This window comes from Homo sapiens, chromosome 10, assembly GCF_000001405.40.
Source record: "Homo sapiens chromosome 10, GRCh38.p14 Primary Assembly".
NCBI classification, from domain to species: Eukaryota; Metazoa; Chordata; class Mammalia; order Primates; family Hominidae; genus Homo; species Homo sapiens.
This window is the reverse complement of record NC_000010.11, coordinates 29,382,808-29,396,874: the sequence shown is the minus strand read 5'-3', so window position 1 is coordinate 29,396,874 and position 14,067 is coordinate 29,382,808. Positions and strand designations below refer to the sequence as shown.

The following is a 14,067-nucleotide window of genomic DNA, read 5'->3' as shown; positions in this document are numbered from 1 at the left end:
AAGAAAGTGACCCAGTGCCTCTGTGCCTAAGTCTCAATCTCTAAAATGAGGATCATAATAATATATGTCCATAAGGTTATTGTGAGGATAAGATGAGGTAACAAGGCCATGTGCAGTGGCTCATGCCCATAATACCAGCTCTTTTGGAGATTGAGATGGAAGGATCATTTGAGGTCAGGAGTTTGAGATCAGCCTGGGCAACAGAGAAAGACCCCAAATCTAAAACAAAGAAAAGAAAATTAGCAGGGCATGGTGGCATGCACCTGTAGTCCCAGCTACTGGGGAGGCTGAGAGGATAAGATTGCATGAGCCCATGAGTTTGAGGTTACAGAGAGCTATGGTCCTGCCACTGCACTCCAGCCTGGGTGACAGAGTGAGACCTTGTCTCCAGAAAAAAAGAAAAAAACAGATGAGGTAACAAGTATATGCACCTAGAACAGTGCCTTGTCCATGGTATTAACTATTATCGTAACTTGCCTCATGGGACTTTATGTTGGAAAGAGATAAGATAATCAAATCCTAACCAGAATGATTTCAGAATTGCAAGGATTTGTTTGGCATATTTTCCTGCAAAGAAAAATTTGAAAAGAGTGGATAATAAGCAATAATATATGTTATGTGAGCACATAGATACCTATGTGCAATATTTTATAAATAAATCCATGTGAGAGATGCCTTTTGTAGGAGAAAGGGAATGAACTTGGATGGAGAAAAATAAACGGAACTTCAGTTTAACTGCAGTGTTATTTTACTTTACTTTGTTTTTAAATGGAAAAGAAAGATTGAAAAGAACTATCCTAGTAATTCAAGAGTAGTCAGTTATGGGTAGTAATCAGAGAGGTGTTTGTTATAAGAGTCTTTCAACTTTTCTGGCGTTTTCTAAATTTCTCAAAGTTACAAATATAAAGTGTTTAAAAGAAACAAAATCAACCATGACATTAATTCCAGAAAGAAAGGGATTGATCTGTGAGAAAGATAACAATGAAGACAAGCAGGAAAAGTACTGTCATGGGGTCCTTCGGGTGTCGCTTTTCCAGCTGGAAACCTCTGTGAGTAGTGGCACTTTTTCCTCAGTTTTGCTGGGCTCCACTGGGCTTGTTCTGTCCACTCGGCCTGGCAGGCTGCACTCAGCTTGTGCTATTGGTCTTGATCCCATGCCTACCAAGGTTGAGCCAGGCGCAGAGTGGCTAGGAGTGTGTGAGTGAGCAAGTATGGGGTCTGGCGACTGCACACATCCAGGCACACCAGCTGCTGCTGTGGGGCGGGCAGCTCCAGGTGCCAGCACATGTGCCAGCTCCATGCAAGAGCCTGCGGCTGGATCAGACGCACTGCCAACAGCTTCCACTGTGGGCATCTGTGTCTGGACAAGGGGAATGTGGTGGCACCTGGAAGCTTGGAGATGCCAGAAACCACAGAGCACCAAAGAGGGTGTCACAGCCCTGGCTCAGGAAGCCCCTAGGTCTGGGTTCCCTAAAGGGCCACAGTTCTTCTCTCTTTCTTGTCACCCAAAATGTGGGGAGCAGGGGGATGTGTTTCAGTCCTGTTTGTGTTACAGCTCTTTCAGTCTTGCTATTCAGCAGGTCCTGACTTCTTATCCTGCATCCAGAAAGAGTGAGATATGTGGACAACTGGAGGGTGAGCAAGGCAGAGAGGAGCTTCACTGAGTGATGGAACAGTTCTCCAATGACCCAAAGTTGACAGCTCCTTTCCTCAGGCAGGTCATCCTGATGACTGTCCAGTTCCTTTCCCCAGACAGGTCATCCTGGCAAGTTGAGGAGACCCAAAATAGGTAGCTCCTTCCAGCAGCTGGTAATCCTGATGTCTGTGTAAGTCTGGGGTTTTTATGGGCTCAGAAAGGAGAAAGGGGATGGCCCATGGGCGGCTATGGGTGGACCCAGAAAAAGCACCATAAATTCTCACTCCGGAGCATGGACTTCACCTAGAACTGGCAGCCTAGCCCCCAGGCTTCAGGCCGTGCCTGACTTAAAGGAGGGGCTTCACCAGGGACCTGCCCCTTTCCACTTAGGAACCTATTTGCCTCCTGCCATCATCAACATGCCATCTAGGGTGCCCAGGCTGTTCATGCAGAGAGGCATCTGCAGGCCTGTGCAGAGTCACCCTCAGTCCCTCCCCTGCCCAAAGTCCAGAGGGGGCCAAGGCGTCAGGGGACCAGCATGTCAGCACCACCCTGAGTGCTCACACACCTGGCAACAGTGTCCAGGCTTGGCTGCAAATTTTCTCCGCACTACAAACTTGCTCCTCTGGGAGCAAGGAGAGGCCAGGGAGCAGGAGCAAGCACTTCAGAGCCTGTGGGGGGAGCAGGGACTTCCCAGGCTCCTGAGAACGCAGGGATGCCCTGTCTGGAGCTGTGGCTGGGCAGCTGCAGCTGTGCCTGGGAGCACAGGGCTCCTGCCCCACTGACTTGGTAGTCGCATGGGGCTCTTGCCTGTTCCCAGCCCTTGCTGGTTCCGCAGAGCTGCAGCCCCAGCCGGGCCTCCCTCACTGCAGCAGGCATCTTTGCAGCAGCTGCTCCAGATGGGCCACTGCCGCCATCAGTACCCTATGAGGATGATTTTTCTACCAACTCCTTCAGGCACATTGTACCCAAAACAAAGAAACAGCAGAGAGGAACATCCCTGGGCTCCTGAGAGGAGAGATGGAGGGCCGTTTCTCTACTGCAGATGGTATTTGTCTCCCTGGCAATTCCCGATAGAAATACATCTCTGAAGCTTTTTACTCCTTTGCAATTGGCTTCATTAGCATTTCAGAAAAGATTCTGCTCACAAGTTTTACCTTTCTGATACTCGTTCTTTATTTTCAGGAAATTTATCAAAAGAAGTAGAATGATTCAGATTAAGTGTACCAATGAAATGGCATCAAAAAGCAATATTAACATGTTTTTCAGGCTTGGTATGGTGGCTCATGCCTGTAATCTCAGCACTTTGGGAGACCGAGGTGGGCAGATCATTTGTGCTCATGAGTTCCAGACCAGCCTGGGCAACATGGTAAAACCCCACCTCTACAAAAAAATACAAAAATTAGCTGGGTGTGGTGGAGCATGCCTGTAGTCCCAGCTACTCAGGAGGCTGAGATGGGAGGGTGGCTTGAGCCGGGGAGGCAGAGGTTGTAGTGAGCTGAGATCATGCCACTGCACCCCAGCCTGGGCGATAGGGCCAGATCTTGTCTCAAAAAAAACCAAAACAAAACAAAACAAAATTTCCTACTTCCTTGAGAATATTTTTCTTTGTGATGCAGGAGTTACCTGGCATTTTACAGGGATGGTGCAAGTGAGCTCAAGTGACGGGTCAGTGCGGTGGGACACTGGCCATGGTGCCAGCAGCGTGGGGTCACGTCCTGGCTCCGTTCTGTGGCCTTGGAAAAGTCATGTACCCTGTGGGTTGAGTGTGCTCATATGTTAATCAGGAGATGGCTTACACAGGAGATAGCTGCTTTGCGTCACAAAATTGCTGTGAGAAATAGCATAAAGCAAGATGATATTTGGGAAAGTCCTTTGGAAATAACACAGTTACCCACATGCCAAGTGGTTTTATTCCATGCTGCCCTGTTTCAGCTTGCTTGGGCAGCTGATTCAATCACCTGGAGCGCCAGGGGGAAGAGGACTTTGTTTAATTTGTTTTTCTGCTGTTTTCACTGGTTTAATTAAAAGTCCTTACTGATGCAACCCTTCTTATACATTTTTCTAAGCTCCACCTGGCCTTTTGCTCAGCTTATCACTGTACCATGCTGAACAATTTTCCTTTTGTGTAAAGATGGTGTCTGTTATTTTTTTATGAATAAAGTTACTATTTTTTCTTTATAATTAAAAGCAGGATGGATGTGGTGGCTCATGCCTGTAATCTCATTACTTTGGGAGGCCAAGGAAGGACGATTTACTTGAGACCAGGAAATCAAGGCTGCAGTGAGCTATGTTTGCCACTACATTTCAGCCTTGGTGACAGAGAGAGACCCATCTCAAAAAAAAATTAGAAAGTAACTTCTGGAGAGATACTTTGAGACTATGTAAATATCCTGTTCCTATCAAACCTTCACCCACTAGGTTCAGCATTTAACCTCAATACATTTCTAATTCCTTCATTCTTTCCATATTTCTTGGCCAGAACTCTGCTATACGGAAGAGTTTCCCTCTCCCTAATCAATTTATCATTTGTTTGTTGATATCAATATGAACTCATGGATTCTTTTTCTATTCAATGGGTTACAATCCATCACTATCTTTCTGTTTCACTGCTACATTATCCCCACATTTGCCAGTAGGGGGCCCCAGCTAGCTTCTACATCCTCCTGCTATAGCCCTTCACTCTGTTTTCCTGACTTTCCAGCACAAGTCGTTTGCCCTTCTGGGCTTAATCTAATGATCCATGTCATCTGTCCTACGAGCTTGGAATTCTACATAGAAGTCAACAGACAGGAGAGGAATTTTGCTCAAGATAAAAAAAAGACACAGTTTCTGAGTAAAATGATAGCCCAAGTCATCTCCTTTCTAGACCTCTGATGAACTGATGAAGAAATATGAAAAACAGAAAAGACTCCATAACAGTGCAGGAAATTAGAGAAGAGCTCCCCCTTCACATTAGAAATTCAATTTCCCTTCTTAAGAAACAACAGTGTCCTTGGGAGGTAGGCAGAAGACATTTTATTAGAACTCTTTAACCTGCAGCAGCAAGGGTTGAGATTCAAGCAGGATGTGTATTCATTTGACAAATATTCCTTGAGCGCTTACTATGTGTTAGGCAAGTCCCGTATAGTGAAGGAAAGAGACAAACATCTATTCCCTATAGAACTTGCATTCTTGTAGGAAAGAGAGACAAATGAAAGGGCGTCCAGCGTAGTCCTCACTGAAGCGGGAGGAGTTGAGGGGGAGCCTGGAGCTGCCTGGGGATGAGTGTTCCAGCAGGAGCAAGGAGCGGGCATCCCATGTGGTCAGAGCAGAGGGCAAAAGTATTAGAGGGTGAAGGCAGAGGGATGGCCAGGGGTGAGCAGGTAGGATCCATGGAGTCAGAAAGAAGGGCAGCCTGCCACTTATAATTCCTACTGCAATTAAGGTGTGAGATTAGCACTTGGGCCTTCAGGATGTGTATAGTGGCTGCACCACATTTAACTGACTTTTCTTTGTATCCAGATATAACCCAAGTAGGACCAATTCCAACTCCAAAGCATGTACAGGCATAAAGGTGGGATTGCGTACCCCAGGCAAAACACAGCCACATTTGGAAGGCCAATGGTGGTAGTAACTGAGGTAGACAGTTTCTTCCTGTGCTCAACCCACGTAAAGAAAGGAGGGTATCTGTGAAATCAAATAATTGTGGCTTTTCACTATCCACAATAGCAAAGACATAGAACCAACCTCAATGTCCACCAATGGATGATTGGATAAAGTAAATGTGGTATATATACACCCTGGAACACTACTCAGCCATAAAGGAATATGAAATCATGTCTTTTGCAGCAACGTGGATGGAACTGGAGGCCACTATTTTAAGTCAAAGAACTCAGAAACAGAGAAACAAATACCACATGTTCTCACTTATAAGTGGGAGCTAAGTAATGTGCACAAGCCTGGGCGCAGTGGCTCACGCCTGTAATCCTAGCATTTTGGGAAGACAAGGCAGTTGGATCACTTGAGCCCAGGAGTTCAAGACCAGCCTGGGCAACATGGCGAAACCCTGTCTCTACAAAAGGTAGCCAGGCATGGTGGTGCGCACCTGTGATCCCAGTTATTTAGGAGGCTGAGGTGGGAGGATTGAATGAGCCTGGGAGGTCAAGGTTTCAGTGAACTGTGATCGCACCACTGTGCTCCAGCCTGGACAACAGAGCAAGACCCCATCTCAAAAAAAATGTATACGCATGGACATAGAGAGTGAAATGATAGACATTGGAGACTCAGGAGGGAGGGGAGGGGGCGGGTGATGAGAAATTACTTAATAGGTACAGTGTACATTATTTGGGTGATGGATACACTAAAAGCCCTGATTTTACTACTATGCAATACATCCCTGTAATAAGTTGCATTCGTACCCCATACATTTATACAAATAAAACTTTTTTAAAGAAGAAAATGATTGTAGCCCTTGTTCCAGGGCCTCATGGCATCTCATGCCACCTGGGCAAGACAGCGTGTATTCTCATCAGGCAACCTGGCACTTTGGAATTCTGGTGAGTGACTGACTTTTGGAAGGTCCTCATCATCTGTCTTAGGTTACCCTGATTGTTAAAAAGAGAGTATACTTTGTATGGATCAGGAAGACCCTTTGTTCCCCACAAATAATTAAGTACACTAGCTTTGTAAAGACATCTTCAACCTCTATCAGGCTACAGAGATTCCACCTTTCTCCCACCACCTCCAACCTTGACATTGCTCCCACAGCCCATCTGGGGGCCACTGCCCCCTCCTCCCTGTGCCATCTGCTTCCACGCTGCTAATCTCTTTCTTTTATTTTTTTAAATTTATTTTTCTTGTTTAATTTTTGTCCTTCTAATCCTCGAAACTTGTGCATTGTTTTTCCTTATTTATTTATTTATTTAATTATGTATATCTTCTTATGTTGCTAATCTCAAAGGATGCTTTTCTCTGAGTAGCAGAGAAAATTGATTCGGCAAATGTGTAGTTTCCCACTGACACCTAAGGAAAAACGAAACAGGGCCTGGGAGACAGTTTACACCATATTCATCCAGGCCGTTTTCACTGATGGACTTTCCATGAAAGCTCTGCAAGTTTTCTTTCAGTTTCACTGTCCGTTGGCCGGTACTGGTTGCTTGACTAAGCTCTGTTAGCGTGGGTTACTGCTCACCCCGACCGGTCTCTGTGAAACACAAAACAATACAAGCATTCAAGTCACCTGCCTCAAACTTCAGCTAAAGGAAGCAAGAGCTGCCTTGTGGGGCTGGGTGCTCTCTTCATTCCCAGAACCAAACGGTGCCCTCAAGTTTTCCCCAGTCCTCCCTTCTCCTGAGTAAGGAGCATTATATTTATGGTCAGGAAAACACCAATATGAATTTTATACTGAAGATTTCCAAGATTTCATTTTAAGATGAGAAGGGGAGACACACAACCCTTGTGATCCCAGGAGAACAGTTGCATGAGTCCATACAGATTCCCTGATAATGCTATCTCAGAATCAGGGCACGACGGCGGGAGCTTAGGGATCATCCACTGTACCAGCCCATCTTACAGGTGAGCAAACCAAGGCCAGAAACACCAAGTGACTTTCTCTTGAGTCCCAGAACAGCATTCTTTCTAGGCTGTTATATAAACCAGACTGGTGGTTCTAGCTTACAGTCACAGTGGAAGAGGCAGTCAGCCCCTAGAATTCCTATGCAACTCTTAAGTCTCCCAAGGAAGTTATAAGTAGATGCATCACAAAGAAACTCTGTAGAGGAATAATCAGCTATCAGCAAATCTTGATGCCTTGAAGGTGAAACCCAGGGGCTGTGGGAATAAATGAGAATATTTTAATTTCAGACTTTCTTGAAGCCAAAAACTTTGTGAGACTTGCCAAAAATGTGTGACATGGAGTACATGCCCTCTGCTTTCAACAGCTAGGGTCCCTTCAACCTTGTACTAGACCCTAGAGGGGTTTAGCATCCTTCCGCCGGCTAACTTATGACATGGCATTTCTAGGCAGGTGTCTCAACCTGGTGCTGGATAGTTCTTTCTCACAGGGTGCTGGTAAGTCTGTGTCTTGTAAAATGTGTAGCAGCATCCCTGACCTCTGCCCATTAGATGCTGGCAGGATCCCCACTCAGTAACATTCAAAAATGTCTTCAAAACATCTGCATTAGTATGGCTATTGTTGGTGGCCAACCATCATGTATAGCCGTTTAAACACACACACACACACAGACACACACACACACACACACACGCATTTTTTTTTTCTTTTTTGAGACAGAGTCTCACTCTGTCACCCAGGCTGGAGTGCAGTGGTGTGATCTCGGCCCACTGCAACCTCAGCTTCCTGGGTTCAGGTGATTCTCATGCCTCAGCCTCCCGAGAAGCTGGAATTACAGGCATGCGCCACCACGCTTGGCAAATTTTTGTATTTTTATTGATTCATTTATTTCTTTATTTTTGAGATGGAGTCTTGCTCTGTCACCCAGGCTGGAGTGCAGTGGCACAATCTCAGCTCACTGCAACCTCTGCCTCCCGGGTTCAAGCGATTCTCCTTCCTCAGCCTCCTGAGTAGCTGGCATTACAGGTGCCCACCACCACGCCCAGCTAATTTTGGTATTTTTAGTAGAGATGGGGTTTCACCCATGTTGGCCAGGCTGGTCTTGAACTCCTAACCTCAGGTGATCCACCTGCCTCAGCCTCCCAAAGTGCTAGGATTACAGGTGTGAGCCACTGTGCCCTGCCTAATTTTTGTATTTTTAGTAGAGACAGAGTTTTGTCATGTTGACCAGGCTGGTCTTGAACTCCTGAGCTCAAGTGATCTGCCCACCTTGGCCTCCCAAAGTGCTGGGATTATAGGCATGAGCCACTGTGCCCAGCCTGTTTACACATTCTTTATTCAAGCCTTGCAGCACCTCTAATTGGTGCATATTCTGATATTCATTTTACAAATAGAGAAAGTGCGGCTCTGAGAGTTAGGCAGTGCTTAAGTGTGCATAGCCTGTACATGGAGAAGTATGAATTCTAATCCAGGTCTGTTTTAATCTACAGTCAGACATCAACAAAAATGTCCTAATGGTGAAGGGAAAAAAGCAGTGGTTCCTGGTTAAATCTCCTCTAGAAACTCGATGAAAAGGAAGGGGCAGGTGGTTTTGTTGGTCTTGTTTTGTTTTGCTTGGCATGGCTTAAGAGCTGCTCCTTCTGGAGGTAAGAATTAGACATTAGACCAGGTGATTTCTTGAGGTCCATTCTAACCCGATGAGTTTATGTTTTTACAAAAGATGCTAACTTAAAAAAATAATTTGCAAATGTAGACACTTTGTACTGTCAATCACCTTTTTTTTTTTCCGAGCTGCATATTTCTGATGTTTTCGGTGCACAAGTTGCCAGCAGGAATTCATCCCTCTGAATGTCTGTCATTTGGGTTTTGGCTTCTGCGTTTGTCAGATGCCCCTGGTGCTGTCGGGTGCTGGGTTGCGTCAGTGGTGACTGAACTGAGATGTGAGGTCTGCCTTCTTTTTGTTTGGGTATCAGTCCCAAGAGCCATTTGGCCTCAGTGCTCTGTCACCAAGTTCTGCACTTGAGGTCTCTCTCTCTGGTAAAGTGGCCTCGGGCAGCCCAAGCTCTGTGTTACTGGGCTGCAGGCTGGCACTTGGGAAGAAGTCCTCTGCAGTTTAGCATCCCACGACACATCTAGCAGATCTGCTGCCTCGTTTAAGGACTCAGGACACACAGGTCCCTCCACTGCAGTCAGCACAGCTCACCCACACCTGCCGCACACCTGCCGCACACCTGTCACTCCTGAAGCACCAACACTGCCCAGAGGAGCCTCCCAGGGGAGAAGATGGAACCACCAACAAGTTCTCCTATGAAAGCACAGATCCAGAGAATATCCCTGGTTTTATTTCAAATATTAGTTCCAAAGGGCTAGAACTGCAGGGCAGAGAACAATCAAAATAAAGATTGTGTTAAAATCTACTGGAAAATATGATTCAAGATGCAAAAACTGAATTTGCATATGTCACTTTTCAAGAGTATATTCAAGGCTGGGCACAGTGGCTCACGTCTGTAATCCCAGCACTTTGGGAGGCCAAGGCAGGTGGATCACCTGAGGTCAGGAGTTTGAGACCAGCCTGGCCAACATGGCGAAACCCCGCCTCTATTAAAACACAAAAATTAGCCAGGCCGGGTGGCAGGCACCTGTAATTCCAGCTACTCAGGAGGCTGAGGTAGGAGAATCACTTGAACCTGGTAAGCGGAGGTTGCAGTGAGCCGAAATAACGCTATTGCACTCCAGCCTGGGCAACATAGTGAGACTCCCTCTCAAAAAAAAAAAAAAAAGACTTTATTCAGGGACTCCTTAAAACTTAGAGGGACTTTAAAAAACAACCTAGTACAATAACATTTATTGCATAAATATTGACATTGTGACTGAACTATCAAAAACGTACCCAAGTAAGCTGTAAATTTGGTTTTAGAATTCTAAATTAAGTAGCTTTGAATGACATTTCTCCTAAAGCATTGGTTATGTATTATATGCAGAAGTCCTTGGTTAGTTTTCTTGGTTTACCCTTATGATTTTTTTTTAAAAATCATATTTGTTTCTGTACCTTTGTTCTAACCTTTACTGGTTTCTCTTTCTCTGTTTAATTTGAGTTTTATCTTTGTTTTTTTTCTGACTGCCATCTAGAGGCCGACAGGAGTAATTACAGACACTAGGCTTCCTAGGCGGGCGGGTAGGAAAGGGGGTTGGAGACCAAGTCATCAATTCATCTTTCCCCGCTCTGATGGCTAAGAAATGCTTTGCATGCCTGACTCTTCACAAATACTTTCTTTCTGAGGTTGCAAAGTCTAACTGGCCCTTCTACACTCTCCTTTGGCTTCTTTAGAAGAGCATAGCTTGCCGCTTTAGATATCCCATCTGTCTGAAGCCTCTGCCCAAAGATCTTATTTAATTCATAAAATAAAATAAATCCGTTCATTTCACTTCATGCTCCTAGGGAAGCAGCCTCACCTTGGGAGCCCACGCTGTAGTATTTCAGGTGACTTTAGCCCCTGGAGGAGGTAGGTGTCACTTTGTGGAATCTTAGACACTTAACAGGTGGAAGGAGCTTTGGAGACTGTCTAGCAAGTGATCCTCAGCCTAGAAAATGGGTTTTCTCTGGCTCCAGAATTGCAATCAATTAATGGCCTATCTTCCCCAAGTCACAGGAAGAAAGTTAATGAGAACGATTTTCTCAATTCTGAGTTTTCTCTCATGTATTTTTTTTTCTTTTCTTTTAATATTATTTTATTGAGACAAGGTCTTGCTCTGTCACCCAGGCTGGAGTGCAGTGGTGCTGTCACGGCTCACTGCAGCCTCGACCTCCCAGGCTCAAGCAGTCTTCCCACATCAGCCTCCTGAGTAGCTGGGACCACAGGCACACACCACCAAGCCCAGCTAATTTTGTTTTATTAATTTTTTTTTGTAGAAAGGAGGTCTCACTATGTTGCCCAGGCTGGTCTTGGACTCCTGGGCTCAAGTGATCCTCCCACATCAGCCTCCTGAGTAGCTGGGACCACAGGCATGTGCCACCATGCCCAGCTAATTTTTTTTTTTTTTTTAGACAGGAGGTCTCACTATGTTGCCCAGGCTGACCTCAAACTCCTGGGCTCAAGTGATCCTCCTGCCTCTGCCTCTCCAAGTGCTAGGATTACAGGTGTGACCCCCTGTGCCATATATTTTCTCCCATATATTTTTCTTAAATCATTGTACCTACTATGCCTCTCTAACCAAAAAGACTCTTACGTGAGACCCTGGGACAGATGAACTGTGGTCAACAGCTGCCCCTCTTCCCTTCCCATGGCTCAGGTCCCTTGTTTAGTATTAGACTATAAAGATAAGGCCTCTATTTCTCCCTTTTTTTTTGCTGGAAAAATTCTTTTTATTTCTTATTATAAAATTAAATTTGTTTAGAATTTAGAAATTATTGTATATTTATTTAGAAATCCACAATGTGCTGAATAGGCCACAGTGTTATGCATAGAGTGATGTGGGGGTTCTATCATCCAGACAGCATGAGAATCTGGCAACTGATCCCCTTATTCCACAGAGGAAGCAGATAAGGCCGAGAAGGGTGAGGTGAATGTGGGCAGAGAGCTGGGTCTGGAGTCCTAATTAGTAAAAAGGAGTCAGGCTGGTGGGAGGAGGGGAAAGCAAAAAGAGGAAACAGGTAAGCTGTAAGTCTGCCTTTCTTCATGGTCCAGACACACAGCCCTCCTGTGCAAATAACTCACAATCTTCCTGTGCCCAGGTATCACCAGACACCTGCAAGTTGGCTCACTGCAACCTTGGCGTTGTCAGTATCGCACACAGCCCTCTCCAGCACACAGCACAAGCACCATCCTATAAAATCCCCAGCAAGCCTCTGTCTGCTGGCTATCAGCTGCTCTTCTGCTGGCTGCCCGTTGCCTTCTTATCACATATTTTCATGCTTTTTTAAACAAATAAATCTGCCTTTCTTTATCTACAACTGTCTTGGTAAATTCTTTTACCCCCATGCCACCGGTCCAGATAGTTCTGGCTCGCCCACAACACTGGTCACTAGAAGAGCTGGGACCAGGGCCCTACTCCCATCACACTTGGCCCAGTGATTCTCCTTCTGAGACTCAAGACCTACTCTTTGGGGTGCAGTTCCAATCACTAGGACACTTTCCTTTGGTTGAGGAACACTGTCTCTGGAAACCACCTGGTAAAATGAGCAAGTGAAGCACTTTGCTCCCACGCTCACGTCAGCAGGGAGTGTGGCTCAGCACTCTGGCGGGCTGTACCCTCCCTCAAGGAGCAGAGACCAGGCTCAAAGGAGAATGTAGAGTGGGCAGAGCTGCTTCAGAAGGTGAGGGTCTCGGTCATCAGGGATGAGGTGGTCTGGAGTCTGCATCCCTGGGGATGAGGGCAGGACACCCACACGTGGAAGGGGTGGCCTCCCAGAGGAAAAGCAAGGCCCAGCATTTTCCTTAATGGTCACTAATGACCTCTGCACTGCTAGATCCAATGGCCATTCCTCCATCCTCATCGTGCCAGACTTCAGCAGCTAAGGCACGCTGATGGCCCCTCCTCTTTCATGCTCCTTCTCCCCTCAACTTCTGGATGCCACCTTCTCTTGGTTTTCCTCCTGCTCTCTGATCACCCTGCCTTCTCTGCTGGGTCATCTGTTGCACCTTAACCTCATAATGCCAAAATGTCTTCAGCCTCGTGAAAGGAAAATAAAATCCCGGGACTCCAAACTCACTATGCCAAAGGGAAAAGTGAAGCTTAGGAACTGAGTCATGAAAAAAAAAATCAACTTTTAACAACAACAACAAACAAATATAAAATAGCTGTAATTTCACATGCTTACTTTATCTTATGTAGAATGTAGATTTACTGAGCACAGATGAATGCATAATTGACCTCCCCTTTTCACATATAAAATGTGGATTCAGCATGTGCTAATCAAAACCTTATAAAAATGTAACCACTTGCCTCATTGCCTACCCTCCTTTTTTTTCTTTCCTCCTTCTCCTCCTGCCCGCTCTTTCCCCTTTAAACACTGAAGTTGTCAAAACCCTCTTTGGAAAAAGCGCAGGCCACAGATCCTCCTGTAACTTTTGTGTGTGTGTGTGTGTGTGTGTGTGTGTGTGTGTGTGTTTTCCTGGGCGCATCCTCAAGTGTGCAAAATAAACCTCTAAATGGATTGAGATTTGCAACAGTCACTTTTTGGTTTCCAGCCTCATCCCTTCCTTATCTCCCACACTCCCCGGAGGCCTCATCCTGTCCCTTGTCTTTAAACATCTGTTTATCTACACATAATAACCCCTATACGTCCATCGCCAGCCCTGAACTTTCTCCTAAACTGCACACGTTTGTCCAAGTCCCTCCTTGAGATGGTGGCTTGAATGTCTAGGAGACGTCATACTGACATGTCCAAATTTCTCCCAGATCTGCTCTGCCCACAGATTCCCCCATTCCAGGTGTTGGTGGCTCCATTGGTCTAGCTTCCTAGGCTGAACATCCGTGACTCCTCTTTCTCTCACACCACACATTTAATCCACCAGGAAATCCTGTTGGTTGTATCTTTAAAATACACCCAGAGTCAGACCACTTCTCACCACTTCCCTGCTGCCCCGGGTCACAGTGGCGTCATCATTTCCTGGCTGTGGCAGAACCTAGAACATTCCACCTGGTCTCCTGCTGTGACTCCTGCTTCTCCTAAGGGTTCTCTTCAAAACTGCGTCAGGACAATCCTTTCAGAGCAGCTCCCATGGCACTCCTTCTCTCTCTGAGCCCTGCAGTGCTGCCCTTTTCCTTCAGTGCAGAAGCTGGCATCCTTCCCTGGTGTGCCAACCCGGTCCCCTGAGATACAGATGCCCGGGGGGGATTCAGTGAGCGAGGCTTTTCTGAGAGCATCTTCCCATGA

At 46.0% G+C, this 14,067-nt stretch overlaps 1 annotated feature.

Annotated features, from left to right (window-relative positions):
* Window positions 1,765–2,279: an enhancer, noted in NCBI's record as "H3K27ac-H3K4me1 hESC enhancer chr10:29683525-29684039 (GRCh37/hg19 assembly coordinates)". NCBI's record gives its function as "activates a minimal SCP1, AML or CMV promoter by ChIP-STARR-seq in naive H9 embryonic stem cells {active_cell/tissue: H9 hESC(naive)}" and the evidence as "EXISTENCE:reporter gene assay evidence [ECO:0000049][PMID:30033119]".